Source organism: Homo sapiens, chromosome 22 (genome assembly GCF_000001405.40).
Source record: "Homo sapiens chromosome 22, GRCh38.p14 Primary Assembly".
NCBI lineage: Eukaryota > Metazoa > Chordata > Mammalia > Primates > Hominidae > Homo > Homo sapiens.
This window is the reverse complement of record NC_000022.11, coordinates 27,246,775-27,269,515: the sequence shown is the minus strand read 5'-3', so window position 1 is coordinate 27,269,515 and position 22,741 is coordinate 27,246,775. Positions and strand designations below refer to the sequence as shown.

Below are 22,741 nucleotides of genomic sequence, written 5' to 3'. Positions count from 1 at the left end.
GATCAATCAGTCAATAGAATATTATTGTCCTACCCTGCAGGACTGTTGCAAGATGATGAATGAAAAGTCCTCATTGGTGACTGATAAGTGGGAGTTATTATTATTAATATGATTTTTGCATTACACTGCTCACTGGTACCTCTTTAGGGAGGGAAATTTGCCTTCAGCAAAGCCTGAGCTCCAGCCTTTCTTTGATTTCCAATGCTTGGGACCTTTCACTCCTGGCAGAGGTGCCAGAAAGGAGGTCAAAAAGGCAGGGACCCCAAGAAGAGGAGGAAGCCTATGAGTCACCTGGCAGAGGGAAGGAAGCAAGCCTTTCTCCTGGTGAAGGTAAGTCATTACATCATTACTCTATGGTCCCATTTTACAGGTAGGGAAACTGACACCTCAAAAACAATGAAACTAACCTGGTTTCACGGAGTCACAATTGTCTGGATGTGAACCCAGGATTTGTTGATTCCAGTGCCCATTGTATTTTCATGGAACGATCTTCCTTGGTTGGAAAAGTCTCCACTCTAATTACTCACTCATTTACTCATCACTGTCTTCCACTTTATCGAGCATGTTCTGGAGGAGTTCACAGTCTAGTTGGGGGCCTGGGACCTGCGTGGCCTCACATGTAGTTAAATTATTTCAGTATCGGAAGAAGAATGTTTGAGCTGAGTGTGGGGAAGGCCTCACAGAGGGCTTTGTTGGCCAGGTTTTACAGTGTGAATAGGAGTTCATTCACTGGCTACATAGAAAAGGGATCACCAGACAGGGGAGATGGTAGCAACGAAGGCAGGGATCCATGCAAAAGCATGGTCCAAAAAGCTGTGTTTTTTTGGACCATTTAGGAAAATGGTATGTCTCATCTTAGAAGTGTGGAGCTGCAGGAGATGAGGCCATGAGGTGGGTAATGCCAGCCTGAAGGTCTTCCCTGGCACTTGGCTTTTCCCTGTGGGCAGGGTAGTCTAGAAGACATGTTTAGTTCAGCTGTTCACACCATAGCTTCCCCTTCCCCTCATGCTCAGCTTCCCGGCAGCAGACTGCTCTCATTAAGGTCAAAAGGTGACTCAGAATGGGGTGAAGATCAGCACGGATCTTTCATCATGGACCATGCTGCTCCCCTGGAGAGAATCATGCCTCAACTTCTCCACTAGGAATTTAAGAAACAGAAACACAGAAGCACAGGATCCCCCTGTTAACACCTCTTCAATTTACAAACCCAGTGATCTAGGGAACCGCCTCATGCATTTTATCATTCACTCATTTAGTTAACAAAATTGAAAAGCCCCCCACTAGATAATGTATCAGTTAGTTATTGCTGCAAAACAAGCAACCCCAAGCTCAGTGATTTAAATAATCAATAACTTATTGATCTGTTATTTGCCTGCACTCACGCATGCATCTGCAGCTCAGTCAGAAGATCTGCTTTAGACTGAGCTTGTCTGGGGGTAGGGTTCCTTTCCACGTGTCTCTCCTCCTCCTCTTGGGACCAGCAGGCTAGCCAGTTAGCAGAGAATTGGGGAGGGAGGGGAGGTGAGGAAGCGGCAGAGGAAGTGTGGCTAGGCAGACTCATAGAACCTGTGAACCAGAGCTGCTGTGGTCACTCTCATGGGTTTCTAAGAGGGTGAGCTGAGGCTTGTGCCAGTGGGGTCCTCAGGCCCTGGGTCTGGTGGGGAGGATCAGAAACACCCAGACGTGGTCATGTCTGCAGTGGCAGTAGCAGACATCCTCATTTGGATTGGCGGGTCCCTGTTGTCTAGATGATGCTTCGGCCTAGACCTACCTTGTCTAATGATCAAGACCCCACCCCAGATCTACTTTGCTCAGAGACCCCATCCTCAGAACATCCCTCTGAGGGATGCCCAACCAGCTGTGAGAAGGAGCAAGCTCTCACTCTTTCCTCAGTGGCAGCCCCCTTGGGGAGGAGGGAGCAGATAGCAGAACCGTGCTATTTACAAGCTTTCAAATGGGTTATTGAATCATAAACTGAAATCACAGGCTGTAACCAAATCAGCAAGGACCAGATTCAATAAAGGGGAAAGGGAGGGAGGAATAAACATCCCACCTAGAAGCTTGTTAAAGCCTTCTGTGCCTCTCCTGCCCTGGCTTTCTTAATGTCTCATTGTTTCTGGTGAATAAACCCAGCCTCGTCTGGCGTGATACCGGTGCTATTAATTCCATATGTGGTTTATGAGTGGAGGAAAAGGCCATCATTACATGCCATTGGAACTTGGAAAGAACTCAATGGGTGCTTCATCTCTACCTTGCTGGAGCGGCCGGGCTGCGGCTCTGTCATCAGCCTCAGATGCCTTTGCTGAGTTGTGAATGTCTCAAATTCTAATGAATGGAAAATTTTCGGATGGGAGGCCTGCACCCAGCCTCTTGTGGTGACTGTAAGGCCTCCTTATACAGGGTCTCTGTTCCTAAGGAGGCCCCTGGGGACGTCTGATGACCCTTCTGCTGGGGTCATGTACGTGTGCACTGGACTTTACAGTTTATAGAAAACCTCTTCGTGTTAATAATCTTAGTTATGCTACAAGCTCAAAATGCATAAGGCCAGCACCCTGCCTGGCCTAAAGAAGACACCCTAGTGGCTGGGGATGGTGGCTCACACCTGTAATCCCAGAACTTTGGGAGGTCGAGGTGGGCGGGTCACATGAGGTCAGGAGTTTGAGACCAGCTTGGCCAACATGGCGAAATCCCATCTCTACTACAAATACAAAAATTAGCCGGGCACGGTGGTGGGCACCTGTAATCCCAACTACTTGGCAGGCTGAGGCAGGAGAATTACTTAAACCTGGGAGATGGAGGTAGCAGGGAGCTGAGATCACACCACTGCACTCCAGCCTGGGCGACAGAGTGAGACTCTGTCTAAAAAAAGAAGACACTCTAGCTCTTGTTGGTTTCATTGTCATTAATTACTGTTAACCACATGCCTACTATGTGCCAGATCCTAAGTGCATGTTATCTTTACATCTTTAAATGAGCCTGCAAAATTGGAATTCCTGTTCCTGAGTTACAGATGAGGGCTCTAAGGCTCAGACTTACCCAAAGGCATCTGCTGGGAAGAACAGATGTGGGAATCAACATCGGGAATTCTGGCCTCCAAAGCTGCGGTCTTTGCATGCACAGTGACTCTGAAAAGAGGCAGGGCACCTCTTATTTTTATTCTGCCTATTTATCAGATGAGTATATTGAGTCTCAGACAGGTTAGGTGACCATAGAGCACATCAGAGGAGGCTCCGGGAGATAGCATTTTCCTTTTTCTGGGCTAACTTCACAGACTGATTAGTTAAAAGGTCACAGCAGTGCCGGAAGATTTTTTTTGACTTGAGCTAGCCAAATATATCACTGCACAGATGGGTAAACTGAGTCTTGGGACTATCAGTGCCTTGTCCAAGGTCCCCTAGCCAGTAGCTAGGACTCGAACCTATGGCTGCCTGTCTCAGATCTTGTGTTTCTGCCACAGCAGTGCCCGGCCCAGGAGAACAACCGCAGTGGTCCACACACAGAGCTGGCCTCCCCTGATGTGTTTGGCGATGCCAGGCTCTGTTTGGTGGAAGTGATTAGATCATTTTCCAGCTTGAATCTGGATTCTCAGGTTTGGTATTACTTGTGTGTAGCCTTGACCTTGAGGCTGAGATCAGAAGCCATATAGCAGAGCCATTAAGAGTTCAGGACCTGGGTTCCAATGACACCTCTGCCGACTTCCAACTTCTATCTGTGAAGCCTTGGTCCTGTTCATCCTATGTAAGCCTCAGATCACTCATCTTTAAAATGGAGATGGTAATAATAATCACATCTTTCTTATAAGGTTGGTATGCAATCAATAAATGTGGCTCATATTTGATGAGTGCCTACTATGTGGCAGGTACCCTTCTAAGCACTTTGCATATGCTAATTTTCCCAGTACCAGACTGATCCTATTTTAGAGAGGAGGAAACCAAGAGAGTGGGGTGAGTCAGTCAGGATCACATGGAGTTGGGGTTTGCACCCAGGGAGCCTTGCTCCAGAGTCCCATTGTTACCCAGGACCCTACACTACCTCTTGGTTAAACAAGGCTACTTAACAGTTAGCCTGTGGATAAAACTATTAAACATCACGTGTTTTTGTATTAAGGGGGATGTTAGTGTTTTGCTCTGCAAAAGGAGGCTTCCTGTTAACGACAACAACAAAACAACAACAGCAACAGCAGCAACAGCAAAAGCCATCACCTACAGAGCTGAAGTTGGGGCTCTAAGTGGTGGGTCTCAGGCTTGCCTGAGAGCTGAGATCAACCCTCCAGAGTGTGTCATCTGACCTGGACCCTCAGGCCACTCCTGCTTCATGGCACTTACTCCATTCCAACCAATCCTTCAGTACCTGAATATGCCCAATGCACTTTCATGCCTGTGGCCCTTTGCACATCCTATTCCTGATGCCTGATTTTCTTTTTCCCCTTTGGACAATGAATAATCTCATACCTAGAGATTCAACTCACAAAGTATCTCCTTCATGAAGTCTCTTGAGATCCCTCCCTACCTTTCAACCCTCTCGAGCACAATTTGTGCTTCTTTCTCTGTACTTTCTGCAGCTGTGATGAGCCCCCCTGGGAGACTTACCCACTCTGGGTTACCATGGCAGGTGGATGTGTCTGTCTCCCCCACCAAAAACTCCTGGAGGGCAGGAACTGGGATATATTTATCCAATCAAAAAATGCTTATTGAATGAATGAACAAATAAATGAATGAATGAAGTTTTCCGTCTTGGCTGGATTATAGCTGATGCCTCATAGTCATTCACATGGGACCTCAATTTTGGCCTGGCTTGGCCACGGCCTCAATGTGCTATCTTAGGAAAGACATTGCTTTTAAGCAGCTCAGTTTCCCATCTGTAAATTAACAGGGCGGGGATTGCTGGCTGCCAAGAGCATTTTTGTGACTGTAGATTCATCTCCTGTCTTCCCACCCCATGCCTGCTCTTCTCCCAGGGTCTCCATCACAGTTAGCAGATTCTGGAGATCTTCCTGTCTAAATCTCCGTTGAGTCGTCATTTTCTTCACCCCATCTTCTGCAGCCTGTCTGCTGCCAACACCACCATCTCTCACCACGATACCTGCAGTGGCCTCTTAACACATCTCCCTTCTGCCTTACAGCTTCCTAGAATCCATTGCACACTCAGCAATAAATGTGATCTTTTCAGACACACCTTCAATCACGTCCCACCTGGTGAGCCCCTTCCACACTTCCTGCTGTCCCCAGGCTGTGGAACAGAGTCCCTCCTGCAGGGCGATGAATGCCCCTCCCTCCACCTGCCTTCCTTTCCACCAGCCCGTCTCCCCACCCCCTTCTGTGGCTCCCCTTCCATGGCTCTGGCCACACTCACTGACTTTCTTTCTGGGATTCGCATCTTGGTCCACCATGCCACCTTCCACATGCTGTCTCCTCTGCTTGGAAAGTTCTCTGCCCCCTCCACGTGATCCGATTTCAGCCTGCTTATCCAAAGTGATCATCTGAAGAGGCTCAGAGCAGCCTTCCAGGGCCTCCCCAGACTAGGTTGAGCATTCTGATTATATCAGCTGCTAAAGCTTCTCTTTCCTCCTCTTTCCTCTCTTCCACTGCGGTATCCACCACCCCACTTTCTGTCTCTATGAGTTTAACTTCTCTAGGTAACTCACTGAAGCCCAACATTCCTTCAGTTCCTGAAGCCCAACATTCCTTCAGTTCCTGAAGATGCCCGATGTACTTTCAGGCCCCTGGGCCTTTGCACATGCTATTCTTGATGCCTGACTTTCTTTCTCCTCTTTGGACTATAAACAAGCAAACTCATACTGAGAGATTCAGCTTACAAAGTGTCTTCTTCATGAAACCTCTCAAGACCTCTCCCTACCTTTCAGTCCCCTCAAGCAAAACTACTGTATAATTGGAATCATACAATAGTTATCTTTGTGCCTGGCTTATTTCGTTTAGCACTACATCCTCAAGGTTCATCCATGTTGAAGCACATATCTGAATGCCATTCCTTTCTGAGGCTGAATAATATTCCATTGTATGTATAGGCCACATTTTGTTTCCCATTCATCCAGTGATGGACAGTTGGATTCTTGCCACTTTTTGGCAAAGCTATTGAAACAGAAGCCTAATGCGTTAGAAAGAGATGTTAGCATTCATAGTAATAAGGCAACGAGGTGTCCTGGGAAAGGCTTTAGGATTAGACCTGGGTTCAAATATGAAAACACCCATCTCCTCATGTTGATGTGAGGTTTAGAGCACTGAGGGCAGTGACTGGCAGAGCAGATGCTAGGTGATGTACTAGGTAGGCCTTATTCATTTCACTCTCCTGCCCAGGACTGCCATGTTGTTCACTGTTCAAGTACACCTGGTCCAGGTACTCAACTTGCCAATCTGAATCCAGTGGCAGCATCTGTCTGGAGGGGCCACCTTTGTTCCATCTCCACAAAGGCTCATAGGTGCTAGTGTCACTCTGGCCTCAATCAATACAGACACACAGGCTTATTATACCTGTTTGGCTTATGAGGACTGGTAGGGCACCCGCCTAAGGCCACACAGCAGTACTGAGACCCCTTTGAGTGTGAGGACCTGGCTCCAGGCCTGAAGAACAGAGCAAGGTGTGTAGCTGAGAACCTTGCACAGGTGAGCAGAGGGCCTAGGGTTGAGGGGGCTGAAGGAGCTTTAGCCTCCCTCCGCCTCCCCCTCTTCCATCAAGTAGAAACTGAAATGGAGAAACAAACAAACAAACAAACAAACAAACCGCTGTCTCATTCACAGTTTGGCTCCTCCTTTGGGAGGCAGCCTCCTCAGAGTGGCCACTGATACAGGCCTCTGTGTTTTTGACCGTGCTCTCCTCCCAGCCCCCTCCGTGACTTACTCCTTCCATCCCAGGATCATTTTCCAGACAGCCCTGAGCCAGGCCCACCAGACTATTTAGTCTGGGTTTGGTGACCCCGTCTGACTGCCTGCAGGATGTGCTCAGGTTTCGAGGCCTCCTCGGTGCAATCATTGCAGCCCCCACCTCCTGGCTCCCACCCCTGCTTCTTACACAAACACTTACCTCCAGGCCCAGGACTTCCTGACTCGTTTCCTTGCCTTAGACCCAGCTGCGGGCTTCCAGAAAGGAGCTTTGATGCCCGACAACATGGTCCTCTGTCCACGGGTTTGTGGGCCCCCGTTCATCACTCTGGCACCCAAACTTATCTGCCTTGCATTCCCATCACTGCTACCTCTCCCTCACTCAATCCCTCGCATGCTGACTACTGGGCATGCAAGTTCATTAAAAGAAAAAAGATGATGCAAATTTAAAATATTTTTTCATCAGTGAACACATGCTGATTAGCTATTTGTCCTTGTTCCATGTCTCCAAGGGGGAAACTGAGGCCCTCGAGAGGGAAAGGGGTGAACCCAAGCTCATGAGCTGGGTAGAGACAAAGCCAGGAATTGGCCTTGTATCTTTAGGTTCTCCTTGTCATCTCAGCTTTGATGTCACTCAGCCTCTGTTCTCCCACTTGTCGTCTATTCTGGGTTCTGGACCATATATACTACCTTTAAAAAGTTTATTTTATTTTATTATTTTTATTTCTTTTTAGAGATAGGATCTTGCTCTCTCATTCAAGCTGGAGTGCAGTGACACAATTGTGGTTCACTGTAACCCAGATCTCTTAGGGTCAAGCAATTCTCCCATGTCACCCTCCTGAGTAGCTGGGACTACAGGTACCATGCCTGGCTAATTTCTAATATTTTTTGTAGAGGTGGGGGTCTCACTGTGTTACCCAGCGTGGTCTTGAACTCCTAGCCTCAAACAATCATCCTGCCTCAGCCTCCCAAAGTGCTGGGATTGCAGGCGTGAGCCACCATGCCCGGCCCGTATACTATTTTTCAACAACTCTTTCTGAGTGTCTTGAGTTGCAGGGAAATTAGGTATCCTGAGAGTAAAACTACCTTATTTTGGGCATCCTACTTGGGTGCAACGAAGTGACAGAGGCAGACGTTTGTGGCCCTTGCATCCTAGGTGGTTTTGATGCCACGAATCAATCCCTTTAAAAACCTGTGTGCTGGCACCTTGCTAGAAAGGGTTGGCAGTAACTAAGATTAATGGCTGCCATTTGTTAAGCACTTACTGTGTGCCAGGCATTGTGCAAAGTTCTCTACCTACAATTCTCCTAGGAGGTGAAGGAAAGTATTATGTCTCCTCCCCATTTTACAGATGAAGAAACTGAGGCCCAAAGTAGGCAAGTGACTTGGAGACAGTCACACAGCCAGCAAACAGAAGAGCCTGAATTCCAGCCCAAGAGCCACACTCTTCCCTACCGGAGCTTCTCACAGTTGGGTTACCACTTACGGGCGGAAATGGGAGGCTGGAGTTCAGGGGTCTTTTACATATTTCTGTATTTTTTTTCCACCATGAACATGTTTGATTTTTATAATACTAAACAAACAAACAAAAACCAAAATAAAGCCCAACCGACATCATCCAAAATAACAAGAAAAACAACAAACACCACTGTATATCTTGGTGCCCATTAAATTTTCCTTTAAATATATTGCGTGCAGCCAAGCTTCTTTCAATTCCCCTCTCCATGCACACACCAGGGCTAGCTTCTGTCGACAGTTTCGTGTATATTCTTGCAGATTTTTCTCCTATCAAATGCTAATATATATGCAGATGTATAATTTTATGAGGCTTTTAAAGTCATACATATTTTCAATATTTGATTTTTAAAAATCAATAGAAAATGTATTGCTTTGGTGATTGGGAAGAGAATAAAGATATTAAAAATTAACTCAAATTGAAAAACAACCTTGGATTGGATGTTTTGAAGTTGCAAAGTCAAAGTTCTATTCCAGAAAGTTCCGCACCAGCGAAGCTGGATTCCCCACAGAGATGCTCAGATCCCCATGGCTTGCTGTTGCATTTGGCTCGGGGCTAGGGGAGGGGGATGCCTCTAATTCCCACCAGCTTGCCTTGCCACCCCCTCCCCACTGCCCCTGGTCAATGAGCATTGTGTTCAGTTTGTCGACTCAGCAAAACAGGCCCGCCTACTCCCTCCCTGCTCCAATTGGAAGGTGATTGCCTACCAGCCAATTAATTCTGCTTTAATTGCTCAGGCTCTAAAACGCAGGCCTGAACAGCTAATCTGGTGGGGGGGGGGTGGGGGGAGGGTGGTGGTTTGCCTGGCAGATGCTGCCCAACCAGCTCTTGGGAGATGCTCAGAGAGTCAGAAAAAAAACAATGATTCTCTGCAGGGCCCTTGGGCATTCTGGAGGGGAGGGGCCTGTAGCCATTGGAAGTGTGGCTCAGAAAATGGGCCCAAGACATGGCCACCAGCAAGAGCCAAAAAGAGAAGTAGAAAGGGGTGCATCTAGTCTTAGTTCACTGGCTCACTGTGGGAATTTGTCACAATCTGACATGATCTTGTTAATATCAGCTGCCTTTCTTGTTCAGGGCTGTAGCCAGTGCCCACCCACTGCCTGGCATATAGTAGGTGTTCAATAAATAGTGTTTGATTCAATAAACATATTCCACCCTGTCCTATCACCTCCTGCCTGCAACTACCATTGAAGTCTCCAAAGAATTGCAAGAGATAAATGCGAGAAACTGAGGCCCAGAGAAGGGAGGGGCTTGGTTTGTTCAGGCCAGTGCCTGACTCAAGCTGCCTTTCCACTTTGCTCCACATGAACTGTCCTTTTTCCAAAGCATCCTCACTCATTGTTGTGGGAGGGCTGCACAGGAGAGGAGCAAGAAGCTCCTCACTACTTTCTTTTGAAATCTGCATCTGTATTAAACACCCCCTTGACCTCGAAGCCGGCTCATTACACACCGAGTTCTCTGCTCCTCCGTCTGTGCCTGGGGGGTAACTCGGAACTGGCTCTCCTGGGGACCAGCAGCTCCAGCCCTGGAGAGGAAAATGATATGTATCTAATCTCTGACCTTCAAATGAGGACAGGGATTAATCAAGGATTTAGATGGAGGGGTGGGAGGCTGTGCAAGGAAGTGAGGGTGGGTGGCGGGCACCTCTGATTCCGTCCTCACCTCAAGCCATTGCTGGCTGCTGCAGATGCCCTCCAGGCTGGGGGAGCGATGGGCAGGAGGAAAGGGGGCTCTGGGAAGGACGAAATTGAAAGCTGAGGCAGGAGGAAGGCAGGGTGGGGAAAAGAACAAAGCAGGCAGGCATCAGAGGGCAGGAAAGCCAATAGACAAGCATGCCAGCCCATGGGGTGGAGGAACGCGCAGGAGGAAACAGGCAAAGGAAAAACAAAGAAGAGGAAGAGAGAAAGGCTAACAAGGAACTAAATAGGGCCTGAAACAAAGCCAAGGAGGAAACAAAAGGTAAGGAAAAAAACAAAAAACAAAAAACAAACAAAAAAACCAGCAGGCAGAGGAAGAAGCAGCAACAGAGAGAGAAGGGAGAAGGCTGGGGAGGCCTCCGGAATGTCATCTGCTCATGCTGAGGCAGAGACCTCGGCAAACAGCATGCCCCCAGCCTTGCCCAGGTCCCTCACTCCATCCCTGGTACCCACGGGCTCCCAGGAGCCTTTGGGGCAGACAGCTGGGCTTCCTCCTGCCTCCCCAGCCCAGCCTGCTCTGATTGGCCAGTGTCGTAGGGCAGCAAGGTGCGCCACGCCCACGCATCTCTGCTCTGCCACGGCTGAAGCCCCAGAGACTCCTGGGTTTCCTGAGGTGTTCTGAGCCACCCCAAGTTCTCCTTCCCCCTCCTTCCCCACCACCTAGAAAGCTGTCCAAGTGGAACAGCCTGCAGCTATTACAATAAACACCTCAGCCACAACCTGTCTCTCATTTGCATATTAGCAGCCTTAATTCTGATGAAATATGCAAATGTATGCAAAATGAAATTCATCTCATAATGACACAAGGCGATTAAACAATTTTTATGCTTAAATATTCTGTTTAATGAAATCAAACAGACCTGTGCGTGTGACAAATTCTCCACAGCATGGAGAAATTAGTGAGGAGATATATATATATATATATATATATGTATGTGTATAAAGAATATCAAGCCACTAGCACCCCCAGAACAGCCTAGATCTGCTTTGCCTTTTTGGTGAGAAGAAAAGGGAAAAAAAGTGTGTTTCTGATAACCAAATGAACTGAAAATTATATTACTGAAAACTGCTAAAATAAGTTAGACGCAGTATGCCTTTGTTTCAGGGGCTTGTGAGGAAGCCCCACCCTACATCTCTACAGTATGGCCAGGATGTATTTTGTCCTCCACATTGATGGAGGATAGGGAGGCGCATGTGGGTCGTGGGAAGGCAGATTCAGCCACAACCTCGGTGCCCAGAAAATGGAGTGAAGAGCCCTCTGTGAACCTACCACCAGGAGGCTGATCTGCAGCGTCACTCAGACAAACTTTCTGGTTTTGCTCATCTGGGCAGAATATATTCTTGGTTTGACCACTTGGAGATGGTTTGAGGGCATTTGTGTTCTTAGTCCTGGTAGGATAAAATCTATCTGGATATTTACCAGGAGGAGGAGAAGGAGGAGGAGGGGGACAAGAAGTAGGTAGCAGAGAAAGAGGTATAAGATGGGAGGATAGAATGAAGACAGGAGAAGGAGGGTATAGAAAAAAGGAGTGTACAGAGATGGAGGTGAAAGGATAAAGAAAAAGAATTAATAACGGTTAACATTTCTGAGGCATATCTATGTGCTTTTTTATATATGATCTCATCCAGTTATCCCAACAACCTTACAGTTAGATTTTATTATCATAACCACCTTGTATTAGTGACAAGGAAGTGAGGTTCAGAGAGGTTAAGTAAGTTGTCCAAAGTCACATGGCAGAGATGAGTGGAGGATTCTCAATTTGAAGGTAGACGTATTGAGCTTGGAATCAGCCTAAACTCACTGTTGCAACTCATGGAGAGGCAAGAAGAGGAAATGTTGAAGCATTTTCCAAGGAAGTTGGTCTACAAGCTCACCTTGGGAATTCTTGGATATCTAGGTAAGCCACCAAGAGTTAATTTGCATATGAACCCATAGGGCCCCTGGGAAAAAATCCATTTGGGGATGGAATGGGGTCCTAAGGCTGTGTGTGTAAGGGCCAATGGCAGAGCCTTCTCTGGTCTCCTCATCGGAAAGGCTCGGTACTCAGTTCTCTCTATTTCATCATGATCTTAATGCTGGTTTGTTTGTTGCCAGCTCCCAAATAGAATACCCTTTCCAGGAGGGCAAGGGCCCTGTCAGGCACACAGTCAAGTGGCCTGTTACAGATTTCCAATGGTGCATTTAACTTTTGGAATGCACTCAGTCCTTACTTGTTTCTTGAATTTGAGGGCAAAGGCATCCTCAAAATGGCTGGAAGTACTCCCCCAAGATCCCCATCCAGTCCTCATGGGATTCTGGGATGAGGGAAAGACAATGATGACATGGAAGCAAGGAGTGGCTGCCTCCCAGATAACAGCCATGGCTCCTGGTGTGGGGAAAGATCCCAGCAGCTCTATTGAGATATTTGTCAACCCTATCTCCAGCCACCTCCCACTGTGGGTTCAAAGGGGGAGGCTGGGGGGGCCAGGAAACCTTTGCTTTTGTCCTCCAGCCCATGACCTAACCACTCTAGGCCTCAGTTTTCCCAGCTGAGAAATGGGAAGAGTGTCCTCCCATGACTTATTTTAGCTCTAAGATTTTAGAATGTTAATGCTGAGTCTCCAGCAAATAGTCAACTTTCAAACTCTAATAAGAGCTATAATTTACTGAGCACTCCCTATGCGTCTGCCACTAATCTATGTACTAGTTTACATGTAATATCTCAACTAGTCTTCACAACAATCCTATGAGGTGGAAATTAATATTACTCCCTTTCACAATTGAGAAAGTGAACTTTGAAACATCAGGTTACTTGTCTTAAGTCCACCAAGGTGGTTAAGTAGTAAGACCAGGAGTGAAATCTAGGCAGTCAGGCTGCAGCTGCTGTAACAACAACAACAACAACTGCTATCATTTGGTTCATGCCTGACACCACATGGAGCTCGCCATAGCAGCCCTGCAAGGTAGACAATGCATTTATTTCCATGTTACAGGTGGAGAGATGGAGGCTCAGAGGAGGTAATTGATGTGTCCAAGGTCATACAGCAAGTCACTGACTGTGAAGACAAGAGCCAAGGTGTCCTGGCTTAAGGCCAACATCTGGGAAGCCACCTTGAATCCTCAAAGCAATTTCTAGAGATTCTTGGCCATTTATCATCTAAATCTCCTCCTGGTTCTAACGTTGATAGGCTTTGAGACAAGGACATTTCATTAGAAAATTAGGAGAAATATTTATAATTAATATTTCAATTATAAAAGATATAATTGAAAAGCAATCTACTTTATCATGTTGCTGGTGACAACCCAAAGAAGAGAGGGCACATCACTTTCCTGGAAGCAGGAGAGTGAGGCAGGCCCTTTCCATCTGCTTAATGGGGGATCACATGGCATGGGACAGAATAAAGGGCATTGTTATCTGGGATCCTTCTGCTGAGCACCACTGTGGTAAGATATCAGGCATCACGCACCCAGCTGTCTCTGTGTCTGTGCCTGATGCTAAATGAGGCAGCTTAATATAATGGTTGCCATTTTAGCAAGGAGTTATGAGACTATTTACAGATCCAATCCATTTATTTATTCATTCATTCATTTGACAAATATTCACCTGTGCGAATATCTAGGAAAGCATCACTGAATAGGACATGGCTACAGTCTGCAATCATACCAACGTAGTTGGGGAGACACAGTAGGAGATTACAACAATAAATGTAAATGGCACAAATCCAGTGCAAGAACAGGGGAGGAGTTATTTTACTTGGAGATCTTGGCAGCCAGAGAACATCCGAACTAGGTCTACAAATACAAGATGGAACTTGCCAGAAAGGAAAAAAAATTCCAAAGAGAAGAAATAGCATGGGTAACAGCATGAAGATGAGGAAGTATAGGGTGTGAGGCATGCATGGTTCAAAACTCGTGCTGAGCAAAGCCCTTGGGGGAGAGTGGTAGGAAATGAAGCTGGAGAGGGAAGAACTAAAGCCAGATGTGGGGAGGTCTGCATACTTATTCTTTTTCTGCAACTGAGTGATCCAGGGACCCTGAGGAGGTCACTTCAAATCCCAGGGCCTCAGTTTTCTCAGTTTTGAAAACAAGGAAGGATAAACCTTCAGGCTGTTGTGAACATCGAGCATATCTGGGAGGAGTATTCTGTCACTGTACACTCTGGCCCTATCTAATTGAATGGCTCCAATTCTAATTAGGAGATTTTCATCAGAGACAAAAATGGTGAAGAGAAAATTATTCCCTATTTGGGCATCCAGATGCCACTTGCCTTTTTAAGTACTAGCAAAAAGTGGTACCAGCTTCCCCAGAGCATGATTGAAAAACAGATCCCTGTGACACACTCCCCCAGTCCTGTCCCAGTCTCCTTCTGGCAGTTTCTGCTGTGAATCGCACTCTGTGAAATCACACTCTGCCTGTTTTCTCCTTCATGGGGAGCTCCAAGATTATGGGAAGTGGACGCAGGCACAATTGCAGAGCCCACGATTTATATCACATGGCACCAGGCCTGGAGGTGTGGGAAGGTGGGCACAGCAAGTCTTGCCTCCCCTTCTATGCTGTAAATGGTTCCAACCAATTGGATATGCATGGAGCTGGGGGATTGATGATCCTCCCAAGAGAGTCCTCGAGTGTACCATGTTTTTCCCTGTAGGAGTATCTTTTCTCCTTAGCGGAGACCCTGGAGGTACATGTGGGACAATATGGTTCCCTTCAAGGGGCTGCATTCTAGGGGGACTAGCAAGACCAGAGGCACTAAAGGATGTTTTTCCTTTCATCCTTGTACTTTTAAATGCTTGTCTTTTCTCCCTATCTTCATCCCTCCTCCTCCCTTATGTTTTCTTATACAATTGGAAAGCATCAATTTTACAAAAAAAAAAAAAAAATCTGTTTCCAAAAACAATATCAATTGTCATCACACACGGGAAGCCTTTTTTTTTTTTTTTTTCGAGACAGAGTCTCGCTCCGTCACCCAGGATGGAGGGCAGTAGTGCGATCTCAGCTCACTGCAACCTCTGCCTCCTGGTTCAAGCAATTCTCCTGCCTCAGCCTCCTGAGTAGCTAGGACTACAGGTGCCCACCACTACGCCTGGCTACTTTTTTGTATTTTTAGTAGAGATGGGGTTTCCCCATGTTAGCCAGGATAGTCTCAATCTCCTGACCTCGTGATCTGGCTGCCTTGGCCTCGCAAAGTGCTGGGATTACAGGCATGAGCCACCACACCCGACCACACACAGGAAATCTTTCTGTAGCCAAACTCCCTATCTGCTGCAGTGAAGGGCTATTGGGACCATCAGCCCTGTGGCTGGACAGCACCCCAGCCCAATCCCCAACTCTCTCTTCTGAACTTTGATTCTTAGCATTCTCTCTCAGCACCTCCCATTCACTCAGGCTCCTTTTCGAACCATGAACCTTCAAGGTGACCACACAACAGGACCAACTGTGTGGTAATGAAAAGTCCCTCCCTTCTGTCCCTGTCTCAACAGGGTATAGCTTATATTCTCCCTGAAAATGATGCAAAGAAATTTGGATGCATTCCTGCTATGATTGGGGCCTACCCTGTTCTTCCATCCAGGGCCTTCACTTCAGATCCACTGAAAGTCAATGACTTTTCTGAAACTGACCAAAAAAAAAGAATAAATCCCCAACAAATCCCAAACTTCTAACTACCACCACATTTCTGCTTTTCCATGACAAGGATGAGCAGAGAAATTCAATCCCCATGCTTCATGGGGCCAAACTAACCCCGTGTGGATTTCCAGTGAGGAAAGCTGGACCTCGGACCAAGTATCCTGCCAACAGAGTGGGGCTTAATGATTTGTGCAGACCCACAGTATTCCAGCGAGAGTCAGGAATACTGTGCATTGATTCCAGGCGATTGAAAGCCCCCACCCCTGCTCCCCTGGGTGTTTCTTGCATTCTTTGTTGTTGCATAGTCCCCGTTTTCCCTCCGATGATATCCAAGAAGCATAAGAAAGCCCAGGGTTGAGATAATCACTTTCTCAGGCCTTAATTAATTTGGCACTATTGGTTAATTAGCTGGAGGTGTCATTTAGTTAATCAGAGACTCTGGGGTTGCTCAAGCTAGAAAGGTCTGCAGGGTCATTAGCCTCGGTCCCCTTCAGTCCACGGAGGAGGAAGAGCAGGTTAAGGAGGAAGGAGAGTGGCCTAGGGTTACTCTGCAACTTAGGGGCTTGCAGGCCAGGCTCACAGAACTGGGACTTGAGGTCAGGTCTTCTGGTTTATAGCTCTGCCGTCCTGGCTCTAATTCTCTCCACTTTAATTGAATTTAATGTAATTGTATTGCATGGTATTGCATTCATTGTGTCATCCTACCATCTCCCTCTCCAATGTCCTCCACTCATATCCAACTTCTCAATTTTCTGCAAATTCATAATCACCTCACGATCTTTGCACTTGCTGTGCCCTCTTACCAGGAAAACCACTTCCCTATGTCTTTGTACAATTGTCTCCTTCTGATTGTTCAGGTTTTAGCTTGTCATCTCTTCAGAAAGACCTTCTTTGCCACAATCTATGTGGTGGACAGAGCCTAGGGTGCCGGAAATAATTCTTCCCTTCCTGGCATGCATGCCTTTGTCATCCCTACCCTTGAGTAGGGATGGAATTTGTGACCCACTTGCTCCTAACCAGTAAATGTAGCAGAGGTCACGGGGCGTCACTCTCGTGGTTAGGTTATGCTGTGTAGCAAAGGTGGAGGTATTCTGGGTGGACCTGAATTAATCAGGTAAAATCCCTTAAAAGAGGGACCAAGGGAGAAACTCTCCTTGCTGGCTTGATGTAGTAATGAACTGCAGGTAGCCTCTGAGACCAGAGGGTAGTCCCCAGCTGATAGCCAGCAAAAAGCTTGGGCCCTCGATCAAACAGCCACAAGGAAATGAATTCTGCCAATAACCTGAATGAACTTGGAGGCAGATTGCTCCCCAGCTGAGCCTTGGGATGAAAGCACAGCCCCCAGCCAGCATCTTAATGCAGCCTTGAGTAAAGACGCCAGCGAGTCATAGCCAGACGCTTGACTCATAGAAACCATTGCACAATAAATGTGTGTTGTTTTCAGCTGCTAAATTTATGGCATTTGTTATGTGGCAATAGATAACTAATATAATAGAATACAGGTCCTCTCTCAACCTTGACCTTCCTTCATGTCACCTTTTATTGTTTTCATCACGCATTTGCCACTCTCTGGAAGTATCTTATGTGAATACGAGTTTATGTGCTCATCTTCTGTCTTCCCTACTAGATTCTGAGCTCCATGAGGGCAGGGCCTTGTCTGTCCTGTTTCATTCTGTAGTCCTGCAAACAATGGGTATACATTACATATTTTTAAATGAATGAATGAATGAATGATGGTATAAAAATATGATCCAGGAATATTTGAATAAAATGTTTATAAATCCAACTAAAAGACCTGCATTGCAAAATCTATGCAAAATAAAAAAGACAAGCCCAGGAAAACACTTAAGATTTGTATTACAGAAAAAGGTCTAACTTTTTTACTTTATAAAACAGTAGTACAAACTAAGAAGAAAATGTTTCCAAAATAGATGAAAAGATGCTCAACTTCACCTCCAGTAAGAGAAATTTGAATTAGAACTACACCAGGAGTCTTGGTTTTGCCTGTTATCTAAGCAAAGATGACATCATGTTAGTGAGGGTGCAGGGAACAGAGTTCTGGTTATCTGGACAGACGTGTGCCATGCCAGCGCCAGCCCTGGGAAGTAACAAGAAGTGCAGGGCAGGTCCCAAAGCTCCCTCCCACATTCCAGTGCCAGCTCCTGTTAGAGTTCCCTGGATCCCATCTTGCTTCCTTGGTGTTCCCTTCTTCCTGCATGGTAGATCTGAACTAAGACAATTCTGGCCACTCAACATCCAACTGAGGTAAGGAAATCAGGGGATCATAGTGGACCCCAAGTCACCATCCAATGTGGTTACAACCCAGCAGTTCTCAGGGTTGCTGAGGAAGGGCCACTGGCTTGTGGAACAGAGAGATGAGGGCTTCCACTGGAGGAGGAAAAAACTATTCAAAATGTGGGAGCCATTTCAGTTGGAGCTGAAGAATGCCAAGTTGGGAACCAATGGTGTCTCTGCAACTAACCAACGGTGCAATTAACCAGTGAGCAAGGTGCTCACTTGCCCACACCATTCCTCATTTGTATCTGAAATGGTATTGAACATGGGGCTTTCTGAGGCTCCTTCGGGCTGGGACAACTCTGTGGTTATCTGGAGAGCATTTGGAGTTCACTCTGAGCCCCTCAGTCTCAGACAGATGTAGATAAGTTGGAATGGGGCCAGGGCAAGCTGGCTTCCATCATTAAGGGGAAGGGGAAGATTGGCTCCGAGGATGATTAAAGGGGCTGACACCTCAGCTTGGCTGGGCTACAGAGAAGGAAGCGGCCGAAAAATGTCTGGAAGAGGGGAATGGGAGACGTGACTCTGGCAGGGGGATGGGGTGGAGGTCAGCTACTCCAGCAGGATCAGCCATCAGGCTCCCAGCTACTGGGAAGAAACACCTACTGTGAGCCAAGTGTGTGCTGACATGAGTGCAATGGCTTGGGAAGCCTGGAAAGGATAATAGTCACCCCACAACAGTTACCACTCTCACCTCTTGCTAGATCATGGCCTTCTAATGGTGTCCCTGTGTCCAGCCTTGCACCCTTAGCCTGTACTCAACAAATCAGTCGAAGAGCTCTTTTCAGAACATATCAACTCATATTACTGCCATGCTCAAAATCCTTCCACGGCTCCCACCCCACTCAGAATAAAAGCCAAAGCCCTTACGATGGCCCACAAAGTCCTGCCTAATCTACCCCATCACCTCCCTGACCCCATCTCTTGCTTCTTCCCTGCTCCTTGGCCCCTGCAATACACCCCAGGGCCTTTGTACTGGCTGTGCCTCTGCCTGGACTGCTCTCACCCCAAGTGATTTCGAGCCTCACTTGCTCCCTGCCTTCAGCTCTTAAATGTCACCTTCTCATGGAGGCCTTTCCTGGCCACCCCGCCAAGATTCCAACCAAGATTCCTTTTCACCTGTTTTATTTTCCCCCAAAACACTTACCTTCTTTTGCCTTATTATATAGTTTTTTCTGTCTTGTCTGTGCTGACCGCTCCCATTTGATTATTGCAAGCTCTGTGAGAGCTGTTTTGTCCCCTGCTCTAGCTCAAGTGCCTATAAAGATGACCAGCACTTAGTAGGTGCTCAAAAATATTTGTTGACTGTTGACTGCATATTACTTACCACTCACAGAGCCCTGGATCTCTGCCAGGCATTGTGCTATGTGTTTTTGATCTAGAATTTCTTTTTTTTTTTTTTTTTCTGAGATGGAGTCTCACTCTGTCCCCAGGTTGGAGTGCAGTGGCATGATCTCGGCTCACTGCAACCTCCACCTCCCAGGTTCAGGCGATTCTCCTGCCTCAGCCGTCTGAGTAGCTGGGACTACAGGTGCCTGCCACCACGCCCAGCTAATTTTTGTATTTTTAGTAGAGATTCATGTTTCACCATGTTGGCCAGGATGGTCTCGATCTCTTGACCTCATGATCCACTCACCTCGGCCTCCCAAAGTGCTGGGATTACGGACGTGAGCCACCGCGCCAGGCCTAGCATTTCTTTTAAACCTCACAACAGACCAAAGATGCAGGTACTGCTTCCATTTTTCCAGTTTTACAGATAGAGAAACTGAGGCCCAGAGAGGTTAGGCACTGGTGATGTACCCAGTGCCATATGGTGGGTAACTAGTGGCTCTAGGTTTAGAATCCAGCCTAGCACCACTCCTGAGCCTGGTCCTCCCTCTTAATTAAATACTCTGCTGCCTTTGACAAAAGTCTACTCAATTACAGTCCTTTCAAATGGTTTGCTTCATCCATCCTCACAAGGGTTATTTCCATTGTATGGATAGGGAAACTGAGCACCCAGAGAAACTGTTTCTCAAAGGTTGCATAGCAAGCAGGGAATCTGGGACTTGAGCTCTATTCTTTGGCTCCCAACCCAGGCTCTCTCTCTATTTTGCTTCCTCCCCTTTCTGGCCTACAGGACACCGATATGCCTAAAACATCCTCTCCTGTATCCTGGAGGCCTGAAGCTCCCTTGAGAGTCATGGCACTTGGAAAGGTGGAGACAGGTTATAGCAGGGCCTCAGCTGGATGGGAGCCTACTGAATGGAGAAAGCAGGCCTTGATTCACGGCTGGTGTAACTGAACCACCGTCCAGTCCTTTCCATCTCAACCTCTGCTGCTTGGCCAGGCCTCTGCTGACTTGTGACTCTGTGGCCTTGATGCCTGGGGTCTCTGCTCTGATGTCACAAGCATACACTGGCCGGGGGCACTGCCTCCTGAAATGTCCCTGCAGGCTCTGACAATGAGCCTTTGGATCCATGATCCTGAAAGCCATCTGGGGCCCATCGGGATTCTAGCCACATCTCACCCCAGACTTTTCCTTGGAGTTGCAGTTAAAGATGCATCAGTGGAATTGTTCCTCCCACATCCATCCCTGTGTCCAGATTGTGCACTCAGGGATCACGTCTGTCTTTTTCACCCTGGTAAGCAGCACCCTATGGGTGTTCAGTTTAGGTCTGTTGAATGTATAACCAAAGGACTCACCCTTCTCTAACAAACACACTTTCTTTTGAGCACCTCCTATCTTCCTGGCCCCATACTAGGGTACTCATATATACAAACTCAATGTAATTCTTACAACAAACACTGAGGCAGAGAGAGGTTATGCAGCATGTCTGAAACCACACAGCTGAGGAATGGGGACATGGGTCAGAACCCAGGCATTCAGACTTCACAGTCCTTGCTTTCCACTAGACCACAGCCTCTAGCCCACCCTTGAGTGTCTTTATCTGGGGGTGGGGGTCCCAGCCCAAGGTGTCTCCAGGACACGAGTGCCCTGGCCAAGCCTGCAGCCAGCTAGGAGCCTCCATCAACAGCAGTGAGTGGAATCTGCTTTTCCCAGGCTGCCACAGAGTCATATTCTTTATACTAAAGGCCATTTGAAAAATGAATAACTAAATGCAATGTCAGTTTTATACCTATGTAAGATGTTGCATATAAAGAAATTCACAAATCAGGGAAATAGCCCTCATCCTTATTTTTGCATCATAAAACGTGGTCTCAGCAAGCATCCCTCCTCTCCTCTGGGGTTATTATCAGCTTCTTCCTGCAAGCGGGAAGTCTCTGGATCCAGGGAGCCAATGCTTATGGGATGACACTCACAATGGTGGAGAACATGGGATGTGTCCTCCAGTGTAAGGCACTTCACCTGCTCCACCATCTGCAATCCTTATAAGAACATTTGTAAACTCACTTAACAAAACTTTGAGTACATATTCTGTGCCAGGCGCTGTGCTAGACAACTGTCAAAGCCTTGATTATTTTCCACTTTAGAGACACTGAAACTAATTGGAATGATTTCTCTAGTTTCATTTAGCTGGCAAGGAGCTGAACTGGATTCAAGCCCAGGTCGTAGTGACTCCAAACTTTAGGCTTTTATCCATGTTCCTAAATCTTATCATCTGAGGTCAGAGCAGACTGGATTTTCTTTCTTTGCGTCAGGCAGCTGTGAGTCCTGAAACAACATGGAGCAGATAGGCTAGCTGCTTTCTCCAAACCGATTGCACTTGTTGGGCACAAAGGAAAATTGCATTTCCCAGCCTCCTTGCTTCTAGGCAGGGTCACGTGGCTACTTCCGGTGGGTAGAATGTGAGAGGAAGTGACGGATCGCTTTCAGGTTGAGGCAAATTAAAAGCCAGGATGCATGTCCTAGATTAAAGACGGTGGAGTCTCCAGGAAGCGAGGGGATGATTTCCTGTGTTGTCTCTGAGAGAACAGCCCCTGACTTGCATCGGACAGTGAAATAACTGAGAAATAGACATTCATTATGATCAGTTATTAGGATTTCGCTACTTTTAAAATTGAAAGTATGCTCTCTTTTTTGACTAATAAGAAATTTACAAGGAGGCTTGTGGCCTGGGATGGGACATCCACTTGTCACAGAGCCCTCTCTGCTGATTTAGCACCCTCCAGACTAATTTGCTCATTTATTCATCTACTCATTTTCTGATTATTTTCCTTTTGTCTTCCAGATCTTCTCTCTACCCCTCTTTGCTCTGCTGTATTCCACTAGAATACAAGAGGCTCTCCTCTGTGGGCTGCAAAACCCAGGCTCCCTCCCTAACGGCTTCCAGGTGAACTGGGTCAATGGAAGGCACCAAGAGGAGATGAGAGAGTGGAGGAGAGCGAGGCTGTCGTTTTTATTGCCCACTTCCTCCGTTCTGGGCTCTTGTTTTGGCAGTGGCTGTGATTTTCCACCTACAGTCATAGCTCTTATAAGGCCCTGGTGCAGGTTCTAGGAACATTTGTCCCCGCTCTTTCCTTCAAGACCAGGAGTGCTAACATGTTACTCTGTTGCTAGTACCTGTGTGTCTTAACATCTCTTGTTAGGTCCCTAAATTCTGCCCATACCTCTGTATATAGTTCTTTGATTAACATCTTTTCAGTGAAGCCGTTTGAGAATACCACGTATTTCCCACTGGGTCTCTCACAGATATGCCATCTATTTATGCATCTATCCACTCATTCACTCATCCATCTATCATCCACCAATTCATGTATCCATCCACCTGTCCATCCATCCATCCATCCATCCATCCACTTACCCATCCATTCATCTACCATCTACCCATCAATAGATCCTTCCATTCAT

At 46.9% G+C, this 22,741-nt stretch overlaps 2 annotated features.

Annotated features, from left to right (window-relative positions):
* Window positions 9,546-10,046: an enhancer, noted in NCBI's record as "H3K4me1 hESC enhancer chr22:27655431-27655931 (GRCh37/hg19 assembly coordinates)". NCBI's record gives its function as "activates a minimal SCP1, AML or CMV promoter by ChIP-STARR-seq in primed H9 embryonic stem cells {active_cell/tissue: H9 hESC(primed)}" and the evidence as "EXISTENCE:reporter gene assay evidence [ECO:0000049][PMID:30033119]".
* Window positions 10,047-10,547: an enhancer, noted in NCBI's record as "H3K4me1 hESC enhancer chr22:27654930-27655430 (GRCh37/hg19 assembly coordinates)". NCBI's record gives its function as "activates a minimal SCP1, AML or CMV promoter by ChIP-STARR-seq in primed H9 embryonic stem cells {active_cell/tissue: H9 hESC(primed)}" and the evidence as "EXISTENCE:reporter gene assay evidence [ECO:0000049][PMID:30033119]".